At 36.3% G+C, this 18,653-nt stretch overlaps 1 protein-coding gene and 1 long non-coding RNA gene across 10 annotated transcripts in view; both read left to right on the forward strand.

Annotated features, from left to right (window-relative positions):
* The window catches only part of ARHGAP15 (Rho GTPase activating protein 15), a 638,934-nt gene that overhangs the window by 26,241 nt on the left and 594,040 nt on the right, over positions 1 to 18,653 (forward strand). The gene's annotated exons all lie outside the window — the stretch shown is intronic.
* On the forward strand, positions 3 to 17,748 carry LOC107985949 (uncharacterized). Its single transcript, XR_001739723.2, has 2 exons — positions 3 to 14,057; positions 14,118 to 17,748. It is a non-coding gene; the product is annotated as an uncharacterized LOC107985949 (long non-coding RNA).

The raw sequence follows: 18,653 nt of genomic DNA on the forward strand, positions 1-18,653 counted from the left end.
GTCAAATACCCCAAATATCCCAAGTTCCTTGTCATACAGAATTTTGTAAAAGGAAAAAAAAAAGCTAATTAGTCTTGTTTTATTTGTTTTCCTAATGTGCATGAGAAAACTGTTTTTGTAATGCATTTTATCTTGCATACTTACAGTCATGATAATATCCCCAGTTGCAAGAGAAGAGCTGGGCTTAATCCAGAGTGATAAAGTGGATTTGGAGCTAGACTGAAGAGCACCTTTGACTCATTTTAAGGGCCTCTACTATCATGCTTCAGTGTCATAAAAATAATGAGGTTATGCTAGCATGTGGTGTTTGTACTTCCAAATACAGTACATCACTTTGAAAAGCCAGAGGCTAAAATTAGCTAAGAATGAATTGAGAAAAAAAAAAATCTCAAAAAAAAAAATGTGAAAATCTCTTCCTTAAAATCTCCCAATAATATACGATACTGGAAATTATGATTTGATTTGGAGTGGGCTTAAAGGATTGAAATGCTGTGGCTATTTAAGGTTTGGAGAGGAAGCCATTTTGTCTCGATAATGTGTCATTAGGAAGATTTGAAATAAAATAGTTAGAGATGAACTCTACTGCCAATTGTGTCGCTGGCCCTGCACGCATCCTGAGCCACTAAACCCACTGATTGCGATGAGTCTCCTCTGGTTAATTTTCTTCCATAATGGTGGTAACTTGCAGCTGAGGCCATAGGATGTTACAAAATTATTTATGCAATGTTAGCCACTCTTTTGGACCCCAGATCTATTTTGTTTCTCACAGTGAGAGCAAGAGGGAGGAGAAATAGGTTAGCTGGGGACAGGCTGAGTTCCAGTCACCCTGCAGAAACATGTGAGCTATTAATTGAGTGTTCTGTTAATATCATAGGGGCCTATGAAATATTCAGCTTCCTAACTGAGTTATTAAATGAGATAAACTTGCTGAGTAGCATGTTACCAATTGTATTTATTCCCCATTTTTCACTCAAAAAATTAACCCACAGCAATCTCAGGAACATGAGAAATATGTGATTTTAATCATTCTTTCCTCAGGTGTTGTAGACAAATTTAGCATGAGGAAGCCAGTGATTATATTTGGAGAGTGAGAACTACATCCTTAGATAAAGTAACTAATGAGATATGCATTTTTCTTTATTTACTTTCTCATTTAAAAGTATTGTCTCCTGGGAGGTACAACACTGCCAGCCTGACTTTGCTTTTAAACCAGCTAAAATGTTCATCAACTATGAACTTGAGACAGTGGTTAGAGTAAATTATTGGAATCTCTATAATGTATTATCAGTAAGAACTGTACCTTTGAAAAAGTTTAAAAGTTAAGTATATTTAATGATGCCTAACATATTTTATTGGCTGTGTTTAACAAAAGGCACTATGCCGCAGTTGTTTTTGACAAGCATGAAAACATCACAGCATGAGACTGCAAAAGGAATTATGGAGAGAAATTACAAGTGATCCATCTCTCAATGAATTATCCACCTCAATAGCCTGCAGAACTCAGCTACCAATTAACACCTACTTTATTACATGTTGGGATGTACTTAATAACTTTCATGTGTTTATGCACTATTACCTTGACTGATGCCTCTTGTACAATTAGGCATAATTGGCATATCAATATGCAAAAGTTAAAAGGATTAACCCTCTTAAAACTAATGAGCATTTCTGTATCCAGCTGCTAAATGAGACAAAATTAGCATTTTTCACTTTTGGGCAGGATTTTATCATGCAGTTTCTCATTGTTGATATTACCTTGTTACATAACTTTAGTTTGGGGGGTTGTATGCTGGACTGCTAGAGAATAAGAGTTTTCCAAAGTTAAATTAGCTATAATTATCCCAGCTTTTGTTTCCGCATTCTTAGCCTGGGCAATATGTATTCCTCGATAAGGAACAAAAATAAAAGTTACTTTTGGTTATGTGTGCTCAGTGCATAATTATATAAAAGGGGTATTTTAGTGAGGATGTGTCATTTCACCGAGAAAACTTGGCTCAGAGATACTGTATTGAAAGCTTGCCATGGCACTAATTTTCTTTCTGTCTCAGTTCTTTTCATCTCTTTTTTCCATGCACAATTTTCTGACTAGATACTGACAGAATGTAAAGTATTTTGGCATATTTATTCAAACAAGCCTGTTAAAGTTATCTGCTCAAGCTAAACTAAGAACTTGATTTTTCAGAAGTTGGGTGGTGGGGTGAGGTCAAGGGGGAGATTTTGAATTTAGAGGTGGGAAGAGATGGGTACTAAAAATGTGGGCACATATTCAAATGCAGTAGGGTTTGTTGTAACAGAGGCACATACATGTAGTCTGTACAGAAAAAAATCAAAAGTATTTAGAGATCATACATATGTCATGCATCCTACTTAATATATATGGCATATGCATACTACTTGTTCACTAGTATAACAATTATGCAAATCCAGTATGACTTACTGGACTATATAATAACACAAGGATCTGATATTACATTCATCATGACTTAATTCATTACAAAAATGATAAAATATTCTAGAGTCAAACCAATTCTGTAATTTTCTCACAAATTCATAAATTCCTCTCGTAAATTTTGTTCAATTAAAATGTTTTTAATATGACTCTTAACTTAGAACACAATACAAAATTCTCCTGTATATGTCGTAAAAGCTTTGATTCTTAGTTATCTTAAATGAGGAATGCTATGAAATGCCAATATAAACATTTATCCAACCCTCAGCTATGCAAACGTAGGTGAATTTACTTGCTAAGTTAGAAATTTTGATAACCTAAATGTTGCAGGAAAGCATCTCAGTAAAACAGATATGAATCCTCCATTAGTATTTTATTGGTGATGTGCATCGTTTTCTTTAGACATCAAATAATCATTCTAAAATTTGGTTAATAAAATCAATGCCTTTTCAAAATTCAAAGAAGTTACTTTTTGACGTGGGAAATGTTGGAGAGGTGGGCAGTTTCGAGAGGGGGAAGTGGTTTGCAAGAAAATCGCCCATCTGTAAGAGAGATCTGGAGAGCTCCCTTTGGTGGGGAAAGAACAGTCTTTGGTCTCAGTGATTTGTTGTCCCGTCCTGAGCACCAGAGTGAGACCTCTTAAAGGTAGACAGCTTATTTACCAGAATGTGCTAAACAGAAAATCAGACAGCTGAGGGCCAATAGATGGGGGCAAGTGAACTGTGCCTGTTTAAGGGCTAAAAAGACCAATGTGCATTGCAGCAAATAGCTATTGCAAAAGGTTTAATGTGGCTTTGATGTTATTTATAAGAGAGATGCTCCTGCCTAATACACAGTTTAGAATAGATATTAATGAGGAGTTTAAATAGCCCGAATCAGGAAACTGCAGACATATGATTTGCAGGCAAGAGTAGTTTCGGCATTTAATGCTGGTGTCTTAAGCAACAACGTGTATGAATATTCACCGTTTCCATCTTGTAAACGCCACAGAACGGCATTACTTCATTCATGGCCATCATGAACAGGAAAATATTTTTTATTGGTGTTCAGATAAAGACTTAGGTGGAGCCATTTTTAAACATTAACATACAAGATTCCTTTTACTTCCATTAACAGATTGTTTGTTCAGTTTTTAAATATATTATCAGAAAAAAGAGGAAACAATTTTCTTTTGTTTCTTACTTCTGTGATTATAGGATACTTGCCAAAGTTGTGGCTAGCCAAAAAGGCAGACATAAAAATTGCTACTAAAAATATAAACCTTCTGTTTAGTAGAGTTTTTAAGAAATATTATGAGATTGTAGGGCTTGTCCATGTTTACTTCAAATCAAGCTTATAGTTAGGTTTGAGGCTTTGTTTGTATAAATTGTCCTGAAGTGGATCCTGATATTTAATTAAAATGACACTAAATCACATTGAATTGATAAGACTTGGCATCTCAAACAAAGGTAATTGCCCGTATTGGTTTTGTGCAAAAATAGCGCTGCTTGGAAAATGTGCAGCCAACACAGACTGTCAACTCCATTTATAGATCAATATGTGAAAACCATTGATCAGGCAGGCATGTGTAACAGTAACACTTTGCATTTATTTGTTGTTTTTATACCACATTAAGGCTTACAGGATTATAGGATTCCTAAATATTTTGACTTCCTCATAAATATATGATCTGTTGCATGTTAATTAAATGAGAGTCTGCAGCCATTTCTAAAATTGTTTTTAGTTTGATGATTTCCTTTTATTGCTGTGGATCGTATGATCTGAAAATGGATTAGTTTCCTTCTGCATAAAGATTATTAAAGCTTATTTTAATGTGTCCTATTTAGTGTAAGATGTGTCTGTATTTTTGCTTTGAAAAACATAGATACAGACAATTATTTTCTCGTAGCGAGTGGCTGATCTTTTTTCATTAACTGGGCATTCTCAGCGCTCAGGGTAGAATTATTTCCTGACATATTTTGCACACCCTGTAGATAACGGGTCTTCTTGACTTCCCTGATAGAATTTGTTTTCTTTCTTTTCCTTTTATCTAGCTCTGTAGTACAGGCATCTGACCAAACATTATGTAGAAAATAAACTGATCATCTCAATTAAATTCTAGACACACACAAATATAATTTAAATTCTATTTTTCTGATTCAAGAACAAGCCTTATGAACTGTTCTTATACACTGCATTCTTCAGTTAAATCTCTCTTATCTCATCAATGTAAGGACAGTGTTTTGTTCCTAATCTTTATTGGACTATTGTGGATGACATTTGTAAGCCATTTTGGTTTATAAGGAAAAGCTGGAGGACAGTGGAGTGAGACTCTCCAAAGATCCAGGCCTCTGATATGACTACACAATAATGTGTCTTCCACTGCAATTTTCTTTACCACTGGGAGGGCAATTTTGTTGAGATTTTTTAATATTTTCTATATACATTAGGAGTGCTGCTTTCAAGACAGTGCTTTCTATACAATATTAAAATAATAAAAGAAACAAGATTTTAAAAACAGCAACAAACAAATAAGCATGAAATTCGAAGGTTTCCTAAGGTATTTTGCAGACATGCTGTAGAACAGATGAAAAAGTTTGTTAGCTAGAATTTTGACTTTTACACAATATGCCCCTGGGAGAAGAAGATTCAAAAACCACTGGAGATTTCTTTCCTTGTCCATGCCACCCTTTGCCATCTCATGCTGTGAAAATCTTTAACTCTATTTACCAAGCACAAATTGGACTTGCCAAAAGGTTCAGAAAGTTTATGACGACAGTGAAGAGTCCATACTTCAAAGAAAGAGCTAGGGCTCTCACAACCACATATGTGGCTGCACCGTTTCCATCTTAACCTGAGCATAGCTAAATTTGTTTATAATCTCCTACTGATAGAACATGGTGCTGAATGTACATGAGATACATTTTTTTAAAAGTTAGTCCTCTGATTACTAATTTGAATCCAAAACTCTAACCTTGTTAGCATCTGGACTTATTTCCATAATAACAACCCCTTCAGAACCTACAAAGTAATGAATAATTGACAACAAATGAAATGTTTTGATAGTTGTCGGCACAAAGCATGTTTAATGTTTTGTGTTGCTTCCTAGCTAATTATGTAGATGACACATTTGTCAGACCTTGACTGCCATTAGAAACGTGTTTCCAGAGGGGAGAAAAACAGGCTATTCATAGAGTAATTAGCTAGAATGCTCAATGACCTGTGAGAGATTCAAATCGCTGCCAGTTCAGACATTGTTTTGTTACAGAGCAGAGGGGTAATTAAAATTCCAAATTACAGTCCTATGATGGAGCATTTGTTTGTTGACAGTATACTCTTACTCTAGTTTGTTAATTTTTTTTTAAATTGCTTCTAATCCATTTTATAGCTTTAGGAGTTCCGTCTTTGAATTTGCTGACAACTAATATTATGGTAAATTGTACTTCAGCTGAGTACTGCGTGCCTCACAATTTCAAGGGACCACAAGGTTGGTGGGATAAAATAGCTCCTTCTCAAGACTGACAGATCAGGTGCTGTCAGCGAGAATGCCTCTAACATGGAACATCTTGTCAAATACTGCTTCCAATTCTATATGAGGGGGAAATGAACTAGTGGAAAATACAAAGGTAGAGAGGAAAGCAACAATGAACAACTAGAACGGAGCAAGAAGCTGTTCTCCCAATAAGAAATGATTGATTAAGTGTTCTGTTACCGAGTAGGAGAGAAGAGTGAGAGCTGAGGATGATTTGGGAAATGGTGTTGAGATTGTGGTGCTGAGTTCAAGGCAGAAGATGCGGCCGTCTGTAGGAGGGCTCACCTAGATCACCCAAAGGATGGCATGTTTCACAGTAACACCTTTCATCTCAGGTCAATAACAAACCATGGAATGACAGATATCATTCATGAGATGTTTCAAGGAAATATTGGGATAGTTTACAAATCTAGAGGGCTAAAATAGTCTAAAAAATTCAGTTCCAGTGGAACATGTATTTAGGTTGCTGAAAGTGAGAATATAGTTTTATTAAAAAGATCTGACAGAAGTCACACGGTGTTTGATGCAGGCGAACTGACAGAGGCATCCAGTGAGCGCTGATTATCCCGAAGTCACTGTCAGCTAGGATTGATTTTCACTTTCTCCGTTTATGTAACGGTTCCTGTAATACAGCTGACCCCGAATCACGTTACCTTGTCATTTCTCTGCATGGATCAAGAAGAGATGAGCTGAAAATAGCTAGACACTGACCTTGAACTTACCAGAAAAGTGAGAAGTGACAGTGGGGTTTTTCTGTAGTTCATGTACAGAGACGAAGGCACACTGTTCCTCTGTCGAGTTCACTGCAGCAGCACAAGGGGGCAGAGCAGTACTAGAGATTACAGGTAACACAGCTTCTGCAACAGCATGGAAAGACTCTGAAATACGGAGTTAGAGCCAGAGGTCTCATTTTTACATCTTAGTTTAGACATAAAGGAGAATTACTGATGAATCAAAATCTCAGGTCCCCTGATGTTCATAATCAGTAATCTAAAAGTGTACCTTCTAATTAAAAAAGGTTACCTAATACGCTGTGTGCCAGCAACTATGCTTTTCCACTAAATTTTTGCAGCATCTCTTATTTAATTCTTATAATACTCTTCACTCTTAAAATAACTTTGGAACCATAGTCAATATTATTAAGAGAGGTTTAATTTATGGCAAACTCCCAAGGTGATATGTGTCACTTTACATACAATTGTATCAGCAGATGGGAATATTCTTTACATATTTACCAGATGTTAACACCCAAAAATTAAAACTGGAGAGTGTTTAATGGCAGTGTGCACTCACGAACAGGTAAAAGGCAAGCTAGAAAATGGTGTTTACCATTTAATTTACATTTATTTATGCCTGTATGTCTTCCCATTTTAATATCTGCCTCAATTTTCAAAAATGTATTTTAATAGATCATCATTATAACCTTGATTAACCTAAAACACAGTATGTCAAATATTATCCTTTGCTTGCTAGCACTTAGTTAAGCTAAATCATTGCTGTACTGATGCTGAATGTTTCTGATAAATGGCACTTTAAAATCTTGGCAAGTGAAGCAGAGAACTGAAGCAGGTTGAGAAACAGAACAGCAAACACTGACTCAATTATCCCCCAGGTTGTAAGTGCCTTATGTAATGGCACGGTAGCATCTTTGCTTGTGTGATGGCACAATAACATTTTTGCAGGCCTCCATAATAACTAGACTCTTCCTTGTATACAGTAGATTCTATGTATGTGTACAGGTAGTATATGTATATATACACACACATTTCTTTATTTATATAGATATATAGAATATATACATATCTATATACAGATATATAGAAATATATGGAGAGATGTATTTGTATATAATTTATATTTGGACCTATTTTTATGTTCCAGGAGAAAATAATAACATATATATTTACAAGCTGAAATATCAAGATTGCCTCAAGGTTCTTCTTCTGTAAATATAACTCAGGACAAGCTGACAATAAGATCAGAGAAACAAGTAGACTTCCAATATGTTTCAAGGACAGAATAAATAAGAGATCATTCTATTGCCAAGAATGTGGCAGAAAATATTCAGAATATCTGTGTCATCACAGAAATCTATAGTACCTAGTTTTTGCCCTTTGGCAGAAGAAAAGCACAAGTCCTCTGACTTAGAAAGATTTGCTATTTGGAGGAGGCGATATAAGTGGGGGCGGCGGTGTGTTTATAGCTATAAAATTTGTGTGTCTAAAAATGACACCTTCGAAGGCAAGCCTGAGGAACAGATGCATTCCTTGAGAATCACACAATTACTTTGCCTTTCTGCTCCTCAGAGAGTGCAGGAGACCTCTTGCATGGCCTCTCCTAGGTGGAAGGAAACCCATCCCTAAACGGTTGATTAGCCTCTGCTTCGGAGGTCAAGGCAGACATAAAGGTGTTGTCTGCTAATACACTTCCCCAGAGTTTTATTTTTTGTTTCATTCTTTTTCTTTCCACTGCCTTCAGTGTGCAAGGCTTTTAATAAGGGACTTCAGTCCCTGATGTGTTCAGATTCGGTTTATTGTTACCATCTGTTTAATTATCCTCTCAGGTTTGTGTTAGGAAGCATTAAAGTATTTTATCCAGCCTTTGAATCCCCATGTTCCTAAAGAGATGTGGGTAAAGTACGTGTCAGTTTTCAAAGAGCATATTAAAAACTGATAAGCAGAACCATCTCCAAACAATAACATGTAAGGCAAATACATTTTTTTTACATTAATGCATGTTACAACTAATTAGCAAATGTACAGCAATGTGGCAATCTCACGGAAATGATGCCATCTTCTCTATATGAAATCTCATATGCTTCTCCTTTGAGGTGATGGATTTTTATGATTCCTATTCACTTCCAATGCACTGACAATAGGTTTATTGGGGGAAGAGATATGGAATTTGATTTGCAATAGGACATATAGTTGTCATATGTCAAGCAGATTTATGGATGTGCTGAAGTTAAAGATAAATCACATACCCAGAGAAAAAGGACAGAATGTTTGGGGAAAAATGAAAAAACCCAGGGGAAATTCAGTTACTTGATTTTTTTCTCCTCTTCCTCTTGAATTTCCTCCTCATTATTATTATTAGATTTCATGTCATCATTATTATTACTACATTGCATGCTTTTTTTTTTCTGGAGAAAAAGCAGCATGTTGCTTCCAGTAAGCACTATAGTCACTGTTATATCTGGTGCAGTTTTCCATGTGCAAAAACCATTGATAACAAAAATTACATGGGCTGACACAGACGTGTTATCAGTTTATGTCCAAATTATTTTATATATCACTATTTTAGTGAAATTTTTGGAAATTATAAAACAAAATTAAGTATAAATGTGTAAGTATCAAAATGTTTTAGATGTCAGAAACCCTGAAAATCAAACGGAAATAAATCATGCTTTTACTTCCTAAATCAAGGAAGCCAAATGATTAATCATTATTCTTTTTTATGTATCCCTTACGAGGTGATTTCAATAAACTTTTTTTCTGAGATTCCAAGATGTTATTAGATTTAAAATGTATTTGAAAGTGTTGAGAAATGGTAGTTTTGTTTTGTGTAAGTACCTTTCCACAGTACCATAAACATAAATGACCAAAGTACTGATCTCTTTTTATTCCTTTGTGAAGAAACCAGTGCTGTTCTTGCCTTATGCTCTTACATTATCTCTGTGAAGGAAGAATAGTGATGACACCAACTTTCCTCCACTACTTTTGGACACTAAACCTGCTTTCTTTCCCACAGGGTAAAATAAAGCTGCTGTCTTCATATTTCCAATGAGAAGGGACATGTGTCTCCTTGCATTGAATTGTCTTAGATCATATCATGTAGCACAAAGTGACCCAATATAGGAAGACAGGAAAACAAAGTGACAGTTTTGTTTGCTCTAATGTAAACGCCAACATCAAAACATGGGGCAAATCCTAGAGGCCCACTGCCAGAACACACAAATTAAATAGCAAGAGCTGATATTCTGTACTTAAAAAAATGTATTCAAGGGATATTCTGTAATCAGCAGTGAAAGGTTAATGAACAAATAAGCTTAGCTCAGGTTAGACAAACTGAGTGTAACTACCACTGTTTTTAAAGCCATGAGAAAGTGAATCTGGCTGATACTTGATAATACATCACACACTGTGGTCTTACCTATTGATTACAGGCTGACAATGGGTAACCTTTCATGGCAACTTCCTCTTTTACCATGAATTATTGACAGTATTAATGCCAATAACACATCATCAAATAGGAAAGAAATTTACATTCCTGGATGTACTATCCTTAACCTCCATGCCTTTAACGTCAAGAAAGAAAAGAAAAGAAGAAAGAAAGAAAGAGAGAAAGAAAGAAAGAAAGAAAGAAAGAAAGAAAGAAAGAAAGAAGGAAGGAAGGAAAAAAAGAAAGAAAACAAAGGAAGAAAAAGAAAGAAAGAAAGAAAGAAAAAAAATATCTTCTTTCTTGTCTTGAAAATGCTAATGAATTACCTTTGACTTTTAGACAGGTTATTCATGTGACATCCCGATTATTCTCATCCACAACACAATCTGGGTAACACAGCCCTACATTTAAGGGAATCTTGCTGTTGTTATTTTCACCCTAGTGTCCTCTAATAGTTTATAGATCCTAGGAAATTTTACTCTAGTGGTGTGTCCTAAGGTCTCTGCATTAATAATTCCTGCTCGTTGAGTGGTCACCATCTCAATCCTGCCCCTGTGTGTGTCCCTCTAAGAGTCCCCAAAGTGGGAAATAGGAGAACACGTTTCATCTATTCATTTCATCTATTTATTTATTTATTTGTACATTTTTATTGGCACTAACAGTATGTCAGAGACTCCTTTGAAGGCTGGGGACATAAACCAAAAAGTTTCTCTGTCCTCTAGGAGGTTACATTCAAGTGAGGTAGAATCTTTACCTGGAATAGCCCAGACTCTGCTGTTAGCTACCTAGACATCCTCATTGCCACTGCCACCACCACCTCTTCAAACTAGTATTAGTGTCAAGTACGTTGCATTTTACCACAAATACTTTACACTATGCTTAAAAATGGCCTGTAAAAAAGAGACGTTCACCTCCTGTAGGATGAATTTCTGTGTGTTGTATATCTCAAATGACAAGCTTTGATTTTTTAAAACTTCAAATTATAAGAATTCCACCTGATTTTAACCTACTTTAAACTCCCTTGCGCACTTTGACCTATTTCCTATGTCTTGTGTTTGGTGTACCCAAGCTATTGAAGTACTTTCTTTGGTAACAAGTCAAGCTGCTAGTATTCTTATCTGGTTAGATTTATAATGCCTCTTTTATTCATCATTCTTTCTTTTTCCTTCTTCCTTAGTCTTTTTTGAATTTATGATAAACTTTTCACTGATGTTGAAATAATAATTTTTATGAATACGAATGAAAGTGTTAATATATTTGATGTCTATAACTATTTTTGTTTCAACACGAAAACTGAACACAGACATAATTTAAACTTCTACAGAGCATTCAAAATTTTCAAGTTCTTGACTTAAAAATTTTACTTTGATCTTTGCTACTAGGGTCTGACTGAGCATTGTCCTTCAAGTAGCCATAATTTATGGGGTTGATTGTGGTTTGTACATGATCTAATTATAACTTGCCAAAGCAGTTTTTATCATTAGTGTTATTCTTATCTATTCTTTATTCTTATCATGCCATTGTAGCCTTTAAAGTACTTGCTGGCCATTTTACTAACGTGCACCCCATCAAAGCAAAGGTAATTACATTAACCAGGAGACAAAATAGGCTCTACTGAGACCTCACAATTCCTTATTTTTCTTACATATGGATAATGGGACAGCAGTCTTGCTATGAGAATGGCCCAGGAAACCCAGATTGGATTCAGTATGCATTTAAGACCATGGTTTCTCACTTTTTGACTGTTAACCTGAGCTTGCCACCACTCATGCTGCCCTTTCTAACTCTGAGCCCCCTATCTCCCATCTGACTGCTTTGATGAAACCTTGTTCCCCAAGGTCACCAACATGTACCTAGAACCCTGGTTGCTTTTTTTCACCTATGCTTCAGAGGCCTGTTTCAGACTTTTCCTCATCAAAAACAATGACAACTTCATGTTTAGTATTCACACTCTAGGGTGAAAATGATGGGTCTAAACAGGGGTTACCATCAAGTGGTGGCTCCACCCAGGCAATATGACCAGAGGTACTTTTTATTTGGTTGGAATGGTGTTTTTAATAGTTTGAATTTGAAAGCCTTTCATTAGAGTTGTGGTGTTTTCCTGCAGGTTGCATTACCTGCTTGGCCCTAAGGACATTTGACTTGGTATTCTTAAAGCTGTTCTATTGACTGGCTGTTCACAGATGAGGACATAATGTGGTAAGTCAGAAAATAACAACTGTTGGTCATAAATTTGAAAACTTAGAAGTTGACAGCCATAAAGCATAAACTTAGAAGTGTAGTCTTTATCACATTTCACTGGTAGTGAAAGTAGCTTATATTACATAGCTAAACAGGAATTTTGTTATTCAGATTTTCTCATTTGGACTTAATTTCAATTATTTATGTATTTATTATTTTAGAGACAGGTTCTGGCTGTGTTGCTTGGGCTGGAGGGTAGTGGTGCAGTGGCATGTTTGTAGCTCACTGCAGCCTTGAACTCCTGGGTGCAAGTGCAAGCAATCCTCCTGTTTCAGCCTCCCCAGTAGCTAGGACTACAGGTGCACACCATCAATCCTGGCTGTTTTTCAAGTTTTTTTGTAGAAACGGGGTCTTGCTGTGTTGCTCAGGGTAGTCTAGAACTCCCAGCCTCAAGCAATCCTCCCACCTTGGCCTTCCAAAGTGCTGGGATTACAGGCCTCAGCCACCATGACTGGTCCTAATTTCAATTTTAGTCTCTTAAATTATTATAAATTAAGAAACATCTTGCTGCCTTTCAAGTAACACTAAAAAGTAACCATGGTTTTCTGTGGAAAAGGTGTTCTCTTGTCATCAAGTTTTAAATACTCTGTTTATTCTGGGTTATCTAAGATTTAACTTTAATCATTCTGAAAACTTGAAGAGACGCTACTTTGTATTTAAGTGAAGCCGTGCACTTGTAAATCTTATCATAAAGAATCACACAAGGCCCTTACAATATTATACAAAATTTAAATCAACTTCGATTTAACTAGTCATCTAATTATCATCATTTACTTTACATTCTCACTAATTAATTTGGAGACTTTTAAACTTTGTTAGAATTTTTATTTCCTTTTCCATTGACATGTAACATCCATTAAGAAATGAAACAACATAAAATGAACTCTACAAACAGTCTCCACTCACTTCTTCATAGCCAAAATGTCTTTTTTGGGAGCATCTCTGCTTTACCAAATAGAAGCCTTAATGGATAGAGAAGCAGGTTCACATGAGGAAGATAATGCTACATGGCCAAGGGCCTCTTTAGAATTTCTCGACTTGCAACTGGCATGTTGAATTCCACCTAAAGATGTATTTTATTTTGCCTAGACAGTGCTTTCTCCTCTTTGCTTTCTAATTGAGCTGACATATTGACATTCTGAGATTTCACATGAAAATTTGTATTTGTGACATGTCTCAAAAAATCAGAAATTCTGGCATCTGGGGCTGGTTCCCCAAGAAGCAGGCAATAACTAGCTGAAGCTAAGTATCTCTTGCCTCCTCTAGATGGGGCAAATTCTCCCTAGTTCAAAACAGTCCAGCCAGGCCCCCTTCATGGGGTGTTTTTACCTATCTGGCATTTGAGTTGGTGATGCTGGCTTTAGCATATCTATTCCAACTTTATTTGTATGTCCCCTGAGGACCATAAGAAACTGAGTTGTCATGCAGATAACTGCAAAACTCCTGTCTCCTTTCAGTATAACTTTTCCGAGTTGCCTCCTAGGTAGGAAGAAGCTTTTGAAATAGGAGAAAATAGTTATTTCATGTATTCAGGTGGTTATTTGCATAAATGAAACTTTGGAACACATTATCCTTTGCTGATTCCCAAAGACACTAATGCCCCTGGGACACACCCAGGGCACTGATTTGAATTGCCAATGACAAATCAAAGTGTCAGTCATGGGTAGATATGGAAAGCATTTGTGGGCCCTCCAGGTTCAATCAGAACTGTCAGTGGCCCTCCAGGTTCAATCAGAACTGAAGTGGGCCCTCCAGGTTCAATCAGAACTATCAGTGGCCAGTGTCGTAGAGGTAGTAATGCTTTTGTTTGTTAGTTATGAGCATGATACAGGTTCAATAATCTGACCAGTAACATTGCACTCTAGCCAGGATTAGAAATATTTTTAGGAAGTCAAAGCCAGATGTAAATTATCCCCTCAAGTAAATCTTCATGATGCAGATTCTATAAAAATTGTAGAAAATTGCTATTATCATTATGCCACCTGTTTGTATAAAGTCCTTTTGTCAGGCCTGGCTCTGTACCTTCGAGCTGCTCTGTGTGCCTCACTCTGCCATTTGACCATCACTTTTCAGCAAATGAGCTTCCAACACCCACCTACATTCTGAACCATTATATTTTAAACCACCCTGAACTCTTATTCAACCTGTTCTTGATTGATTGCAGCTTCTGATTCTTAGGGAAAATCACCTCTGCGTTTTATTATTCTTCCTGTAACAATGTCTGCTGACTTCCATCCTCAGCTACAATTCACAGTGAGCTCTTACATTACAATAATACAAATGTTTACCATGTGGGGACATCTATATGTACTCGGCATTATGCTAAGTGCTATAACTTGATGAGAGACTACTTTGTATTTAAGTGAAGCAGTGCACCTGTAAAGAAGATTTGGTTAATCCCACACCACTGCCACCAACAAATACATGATTGGACTGAGATGTGACTTTAAAGATACCTGATACCAACCAAAACTCAAGCTTTCGACATGCTGGGGCACACTCTGTGTTACTGACCCTAAGCCCTGAAACTCTCCCTACTGCATGCATTTGTGGATACATTCTGCCATGTTCAATGTGGCTAAGAGAATGAGTGGGAATCAGATGTGTATTCTCCGTTATGCCTATTAAAATTCTATTCAACTTCAGAGAGCCAACTAAAACTCAACCCCCTGCCTAGTTTTCTCTGACTGACCTTTCTCTCATCTGAACTCCTATAATAATTATTCCTTTGATTGATTCTGTAATTGTTCACCTTGCACAACTTTAGTGCATTTCTTTCTGCTTTATTTTAAAAACTTATTTATCCTCATTATTATTAGTCAGCATTTTATGTGTTCATATTATAGATCCCCTGTTACAATGAAGACTCCGTGAAGTCAGACACTTTCTCTAACCTCAACAGAACCTTGATGAAAATAAGCATTTAATTTTTTTCAACCTAAGGTACTTTAAAAGGTTTAGAATATTAGGTGGCTAGTAACATCTAATAATATTCTAATTTCTGGAGAAAACATTCCTGAAGACACAGAGAGGGCAAAAACACAAGAATAGCAACAACAAAAAAATAGAATTTAGAGATACCTCATAGTCATAAAGCTAAAGGAGCTGAATTAAAGAAGAAAAATAATAGTTCAGCTATGCTTCACCTCATGAACATGGAGTGACCTCAGGATATCACTATTGTATTCATTGAGGCTGAAATTGGCAGCTTATCTTTTCTACTGCCTGCCTTGTGGTTCAGAGTTTATGATGTGCAAACCCACCAAATACTAGGCAAGCATCCCTGTGCTACACAGGTGTTGTTTTCTAAAATAGCCAGAATTCTGTTGCTCTTCGTCTTTGCTCCTCTTTCTATATCCATTTAGAGACTGGAAGTCACAGGAAACAACACGGCAGGAAGAGTGGGGGACTGGCAGTAAAATAAGGCATCCTGGAGAGTATAGTAACCACAATTATATTGCTAAAGATGGAGCTGGAGTTACAGAAAGCACCAGTAGAAAGGCAGGCTGGGGATTTAATTTTTTATGTATACTAACTACACCCTTACATCGACAACCAGGCTGGGAAAGTTGGAGATGATTCCACCTGTGTCTAGCAAAACTATGCTAGTAGTCTTGTTGATGAAAAATTTGATAAAGAATAATGCTTATCAAACTGCCTCAAGCTGTACCTAACCCTAAGAAAGGAATCCGTCCACCCCTATGAATAATGAATTCAGTCCAGGAATGGTCACATGACCTTCTGTAACCATTAAAGGTTCCATTTGGCTCTATGTAGCAGAAAAGTGGACATAGTGATTTAAATAAATAAATCTGTAGTGGGTTTTTTTCTCTTTTTCTTTTTAAATGTTTGTATAACAATAATTCAGAGCAGTTGCTGTGCTTGGCTAAACACATTATCAAAGACACAGGTTTATCATTTTTCTCCACTCACCATCTTTAGAATGTAGTTTTTTTTTTCCTATTGCCTCTCTTCTCATGGCCAGCAGATGGCTGCTTTATCCTTAGCATTTCAGCTACATTCCAGGCAGGAAAGAAGACAAGCATTAAGGGAAGAAGGCATGTGCAAGATGAACCTGCTCTCTTTTAAATAGCTTCCATGGAAAGCCCATTCAGCAATCTCTACTTACATCTCGTTGTTCAAAAGGGTATCAAATGTTCACGTTTAGCTTCAAGGAAGACTGGGAGATGTGATTTTTAATCAGGACACTTCGCTGCTGCAAACAAAATAACACTGGATAGAGATTAAGGCTAATATAAGATCAGAGTGAATTAAGAGTGAGGTGAGAGTAGGGACACTCCTCAGATCACACAGGGCTTTGCAGTCGACTACAAGGAGTTTAGATTTTATTATTTGATGCACAATCAGAGGCCACGAAAGGATTTTAAGCACATAAGTCTCTCTGTTGGGTAAAGCATAGGTTAGGAGAGGAAGAGAGAAAATGGGGACACTATTAAGGAGCCTGTCCATCCTATTCTCTATTCAATAAATCGTGGTGGCTTGTGCTAGATTGGTTGAGTGGGTATAGATGGAACAAAACAATTAAAGGACATTGTCAATATAGAACTGAAAAGAGTTGCAGAGGGGTTCGATGTAGGTAGAAAGAAAGTAGGAGTCTTCTGAGAGTCAAGATGGAGAAACTGGGTGGATGATAGTGCCAATCACTGAGACAGGAAGAACCAAATATCACAGGGATCTGGTGAGGTGAGATGTCAAGTGGGTCATATTCGGTTGTGAGAAGCTTGAGATTTCAGTGCACACCGAAGTGAAAGTGTCATAGGGACAATCAATTACGTGAGTTTGGAGCTCAGAGAATAGATATGCCTTGGAGATATAATTTTGATGTCAACAACCAACAGATGGTATTTAATGCTACAGAAATAGCCAAGATCCCATTGAGACAAAGCGTAGAAATATAAGAGGGCTCGAACCTTTAAGGAGCCTACAAAGAAGTTAAAAGACTGATTGGAAAAGGGGGAGTGAACCAGACGATGTCAGTTGACATCCATGAATTTCAATAAAGAAGGGGTGCCCAAGAAGACTCAAATAAAAAATATATATACATACACACAAACACTTAGGTAACTATGGATTCAGTTTCTTTGAAGACAAAAATACTTCAAAGGAATTGAAAATGAGTCAAAACTAGTAGATGTAAATATTGGTATATATGACCTAAAAATATTTTAAAAAACCCGAGATGTTTGTTTCATGTACAAGTATTTTGGATATAATTTATAATCATATACAAATATGCACAGTTATACAAGTAGTATTTATAATTATATATTTAAATGTATGTTTTGATAAAAACTAAGCAATTTTAGAGATTGTTATATATTGTAAATGTTTTTTCGTCTCCTATAAAAGAAAAACTGAAAATTTATTTTGTACTTTTAACTTTCCCATAAACATATCAATCCTGGTTCAAGGGAGGGAATATCTCATTGCAACATCAGAAAGGATAGGAAAATGTCTGGAAAATGATAACTGGCTTCAACATGCAAAATAAATGTTCAAAGATAGAATCAAAGGGCAAACATCAAGGTAAATATAAAGAAGCTACACACAGATAATAAAGATAATCCACAAAACTTAAAAAAAACCTCTAATTTTATCTGGAGTAAATTGAGTGGATATTTTGAACTTTATTTTTCATTTACAGTTTGCCCCAGGATAAAATGATAAGCTCTATTAATCAGAAAAGGTTAATGGCATATTATATCTTTGGTAGATTGATAACAGTCTCTGGACCAAGTTGTTTGTAACTTCTGTTCAAGAGTACAATAGTACCTCAGCAGCAAATCACATGAAAATGTCAACCGTATGTTAGATTTTACCCACTTAAAGAAAAAAATCCCACAAGAAACGTTATAGGATAATGGAATGTGCAAAATTAATCGCTTTTCAAGGGGTCGTTCCGAGTTTTATTCTCCTTGGTTGAATTCCCTCCCCAATTTGCCCCTCAGATATGCATTCTCTTATTGAACGATGTGATTGTGGCGACTGTACTGGTGCCCACTTTGAGTCAACGTCGCATTTATCAAACAGTTCCCTCTCACCCAAATATTCCCAGTGTAGTCACTGCTAGCAATCCTCCTTTATTTGTACTCTCCGTTTGTACCTGGTGGATTATATATTATATTAATTCATAATACCAGCTCTGCCAGGCTCCCTACAGTTACAATTATTAAAGCTGTAACTGAAACGTTATCTCTCATATTGATCTTCAACCAGAAGTTCTTGTCCCGAAGCTTTTGTTTCACATTAAGACACTAATGATCACCTTCA

Source organism: Homo sapiens, chromosome 2 (assembly GCF_000001405.40).
Source record: "Homo sapiens chromosome 2, GRCh38.p14 Primary Assembly".
In the NCBI taxonomy this organism is placed as follows: domain Eukaryota; kingdom Metazoa; phylum Chordata; class Mammalia; order Primates; family Hominidae; genus Homo; species Homo sapiens.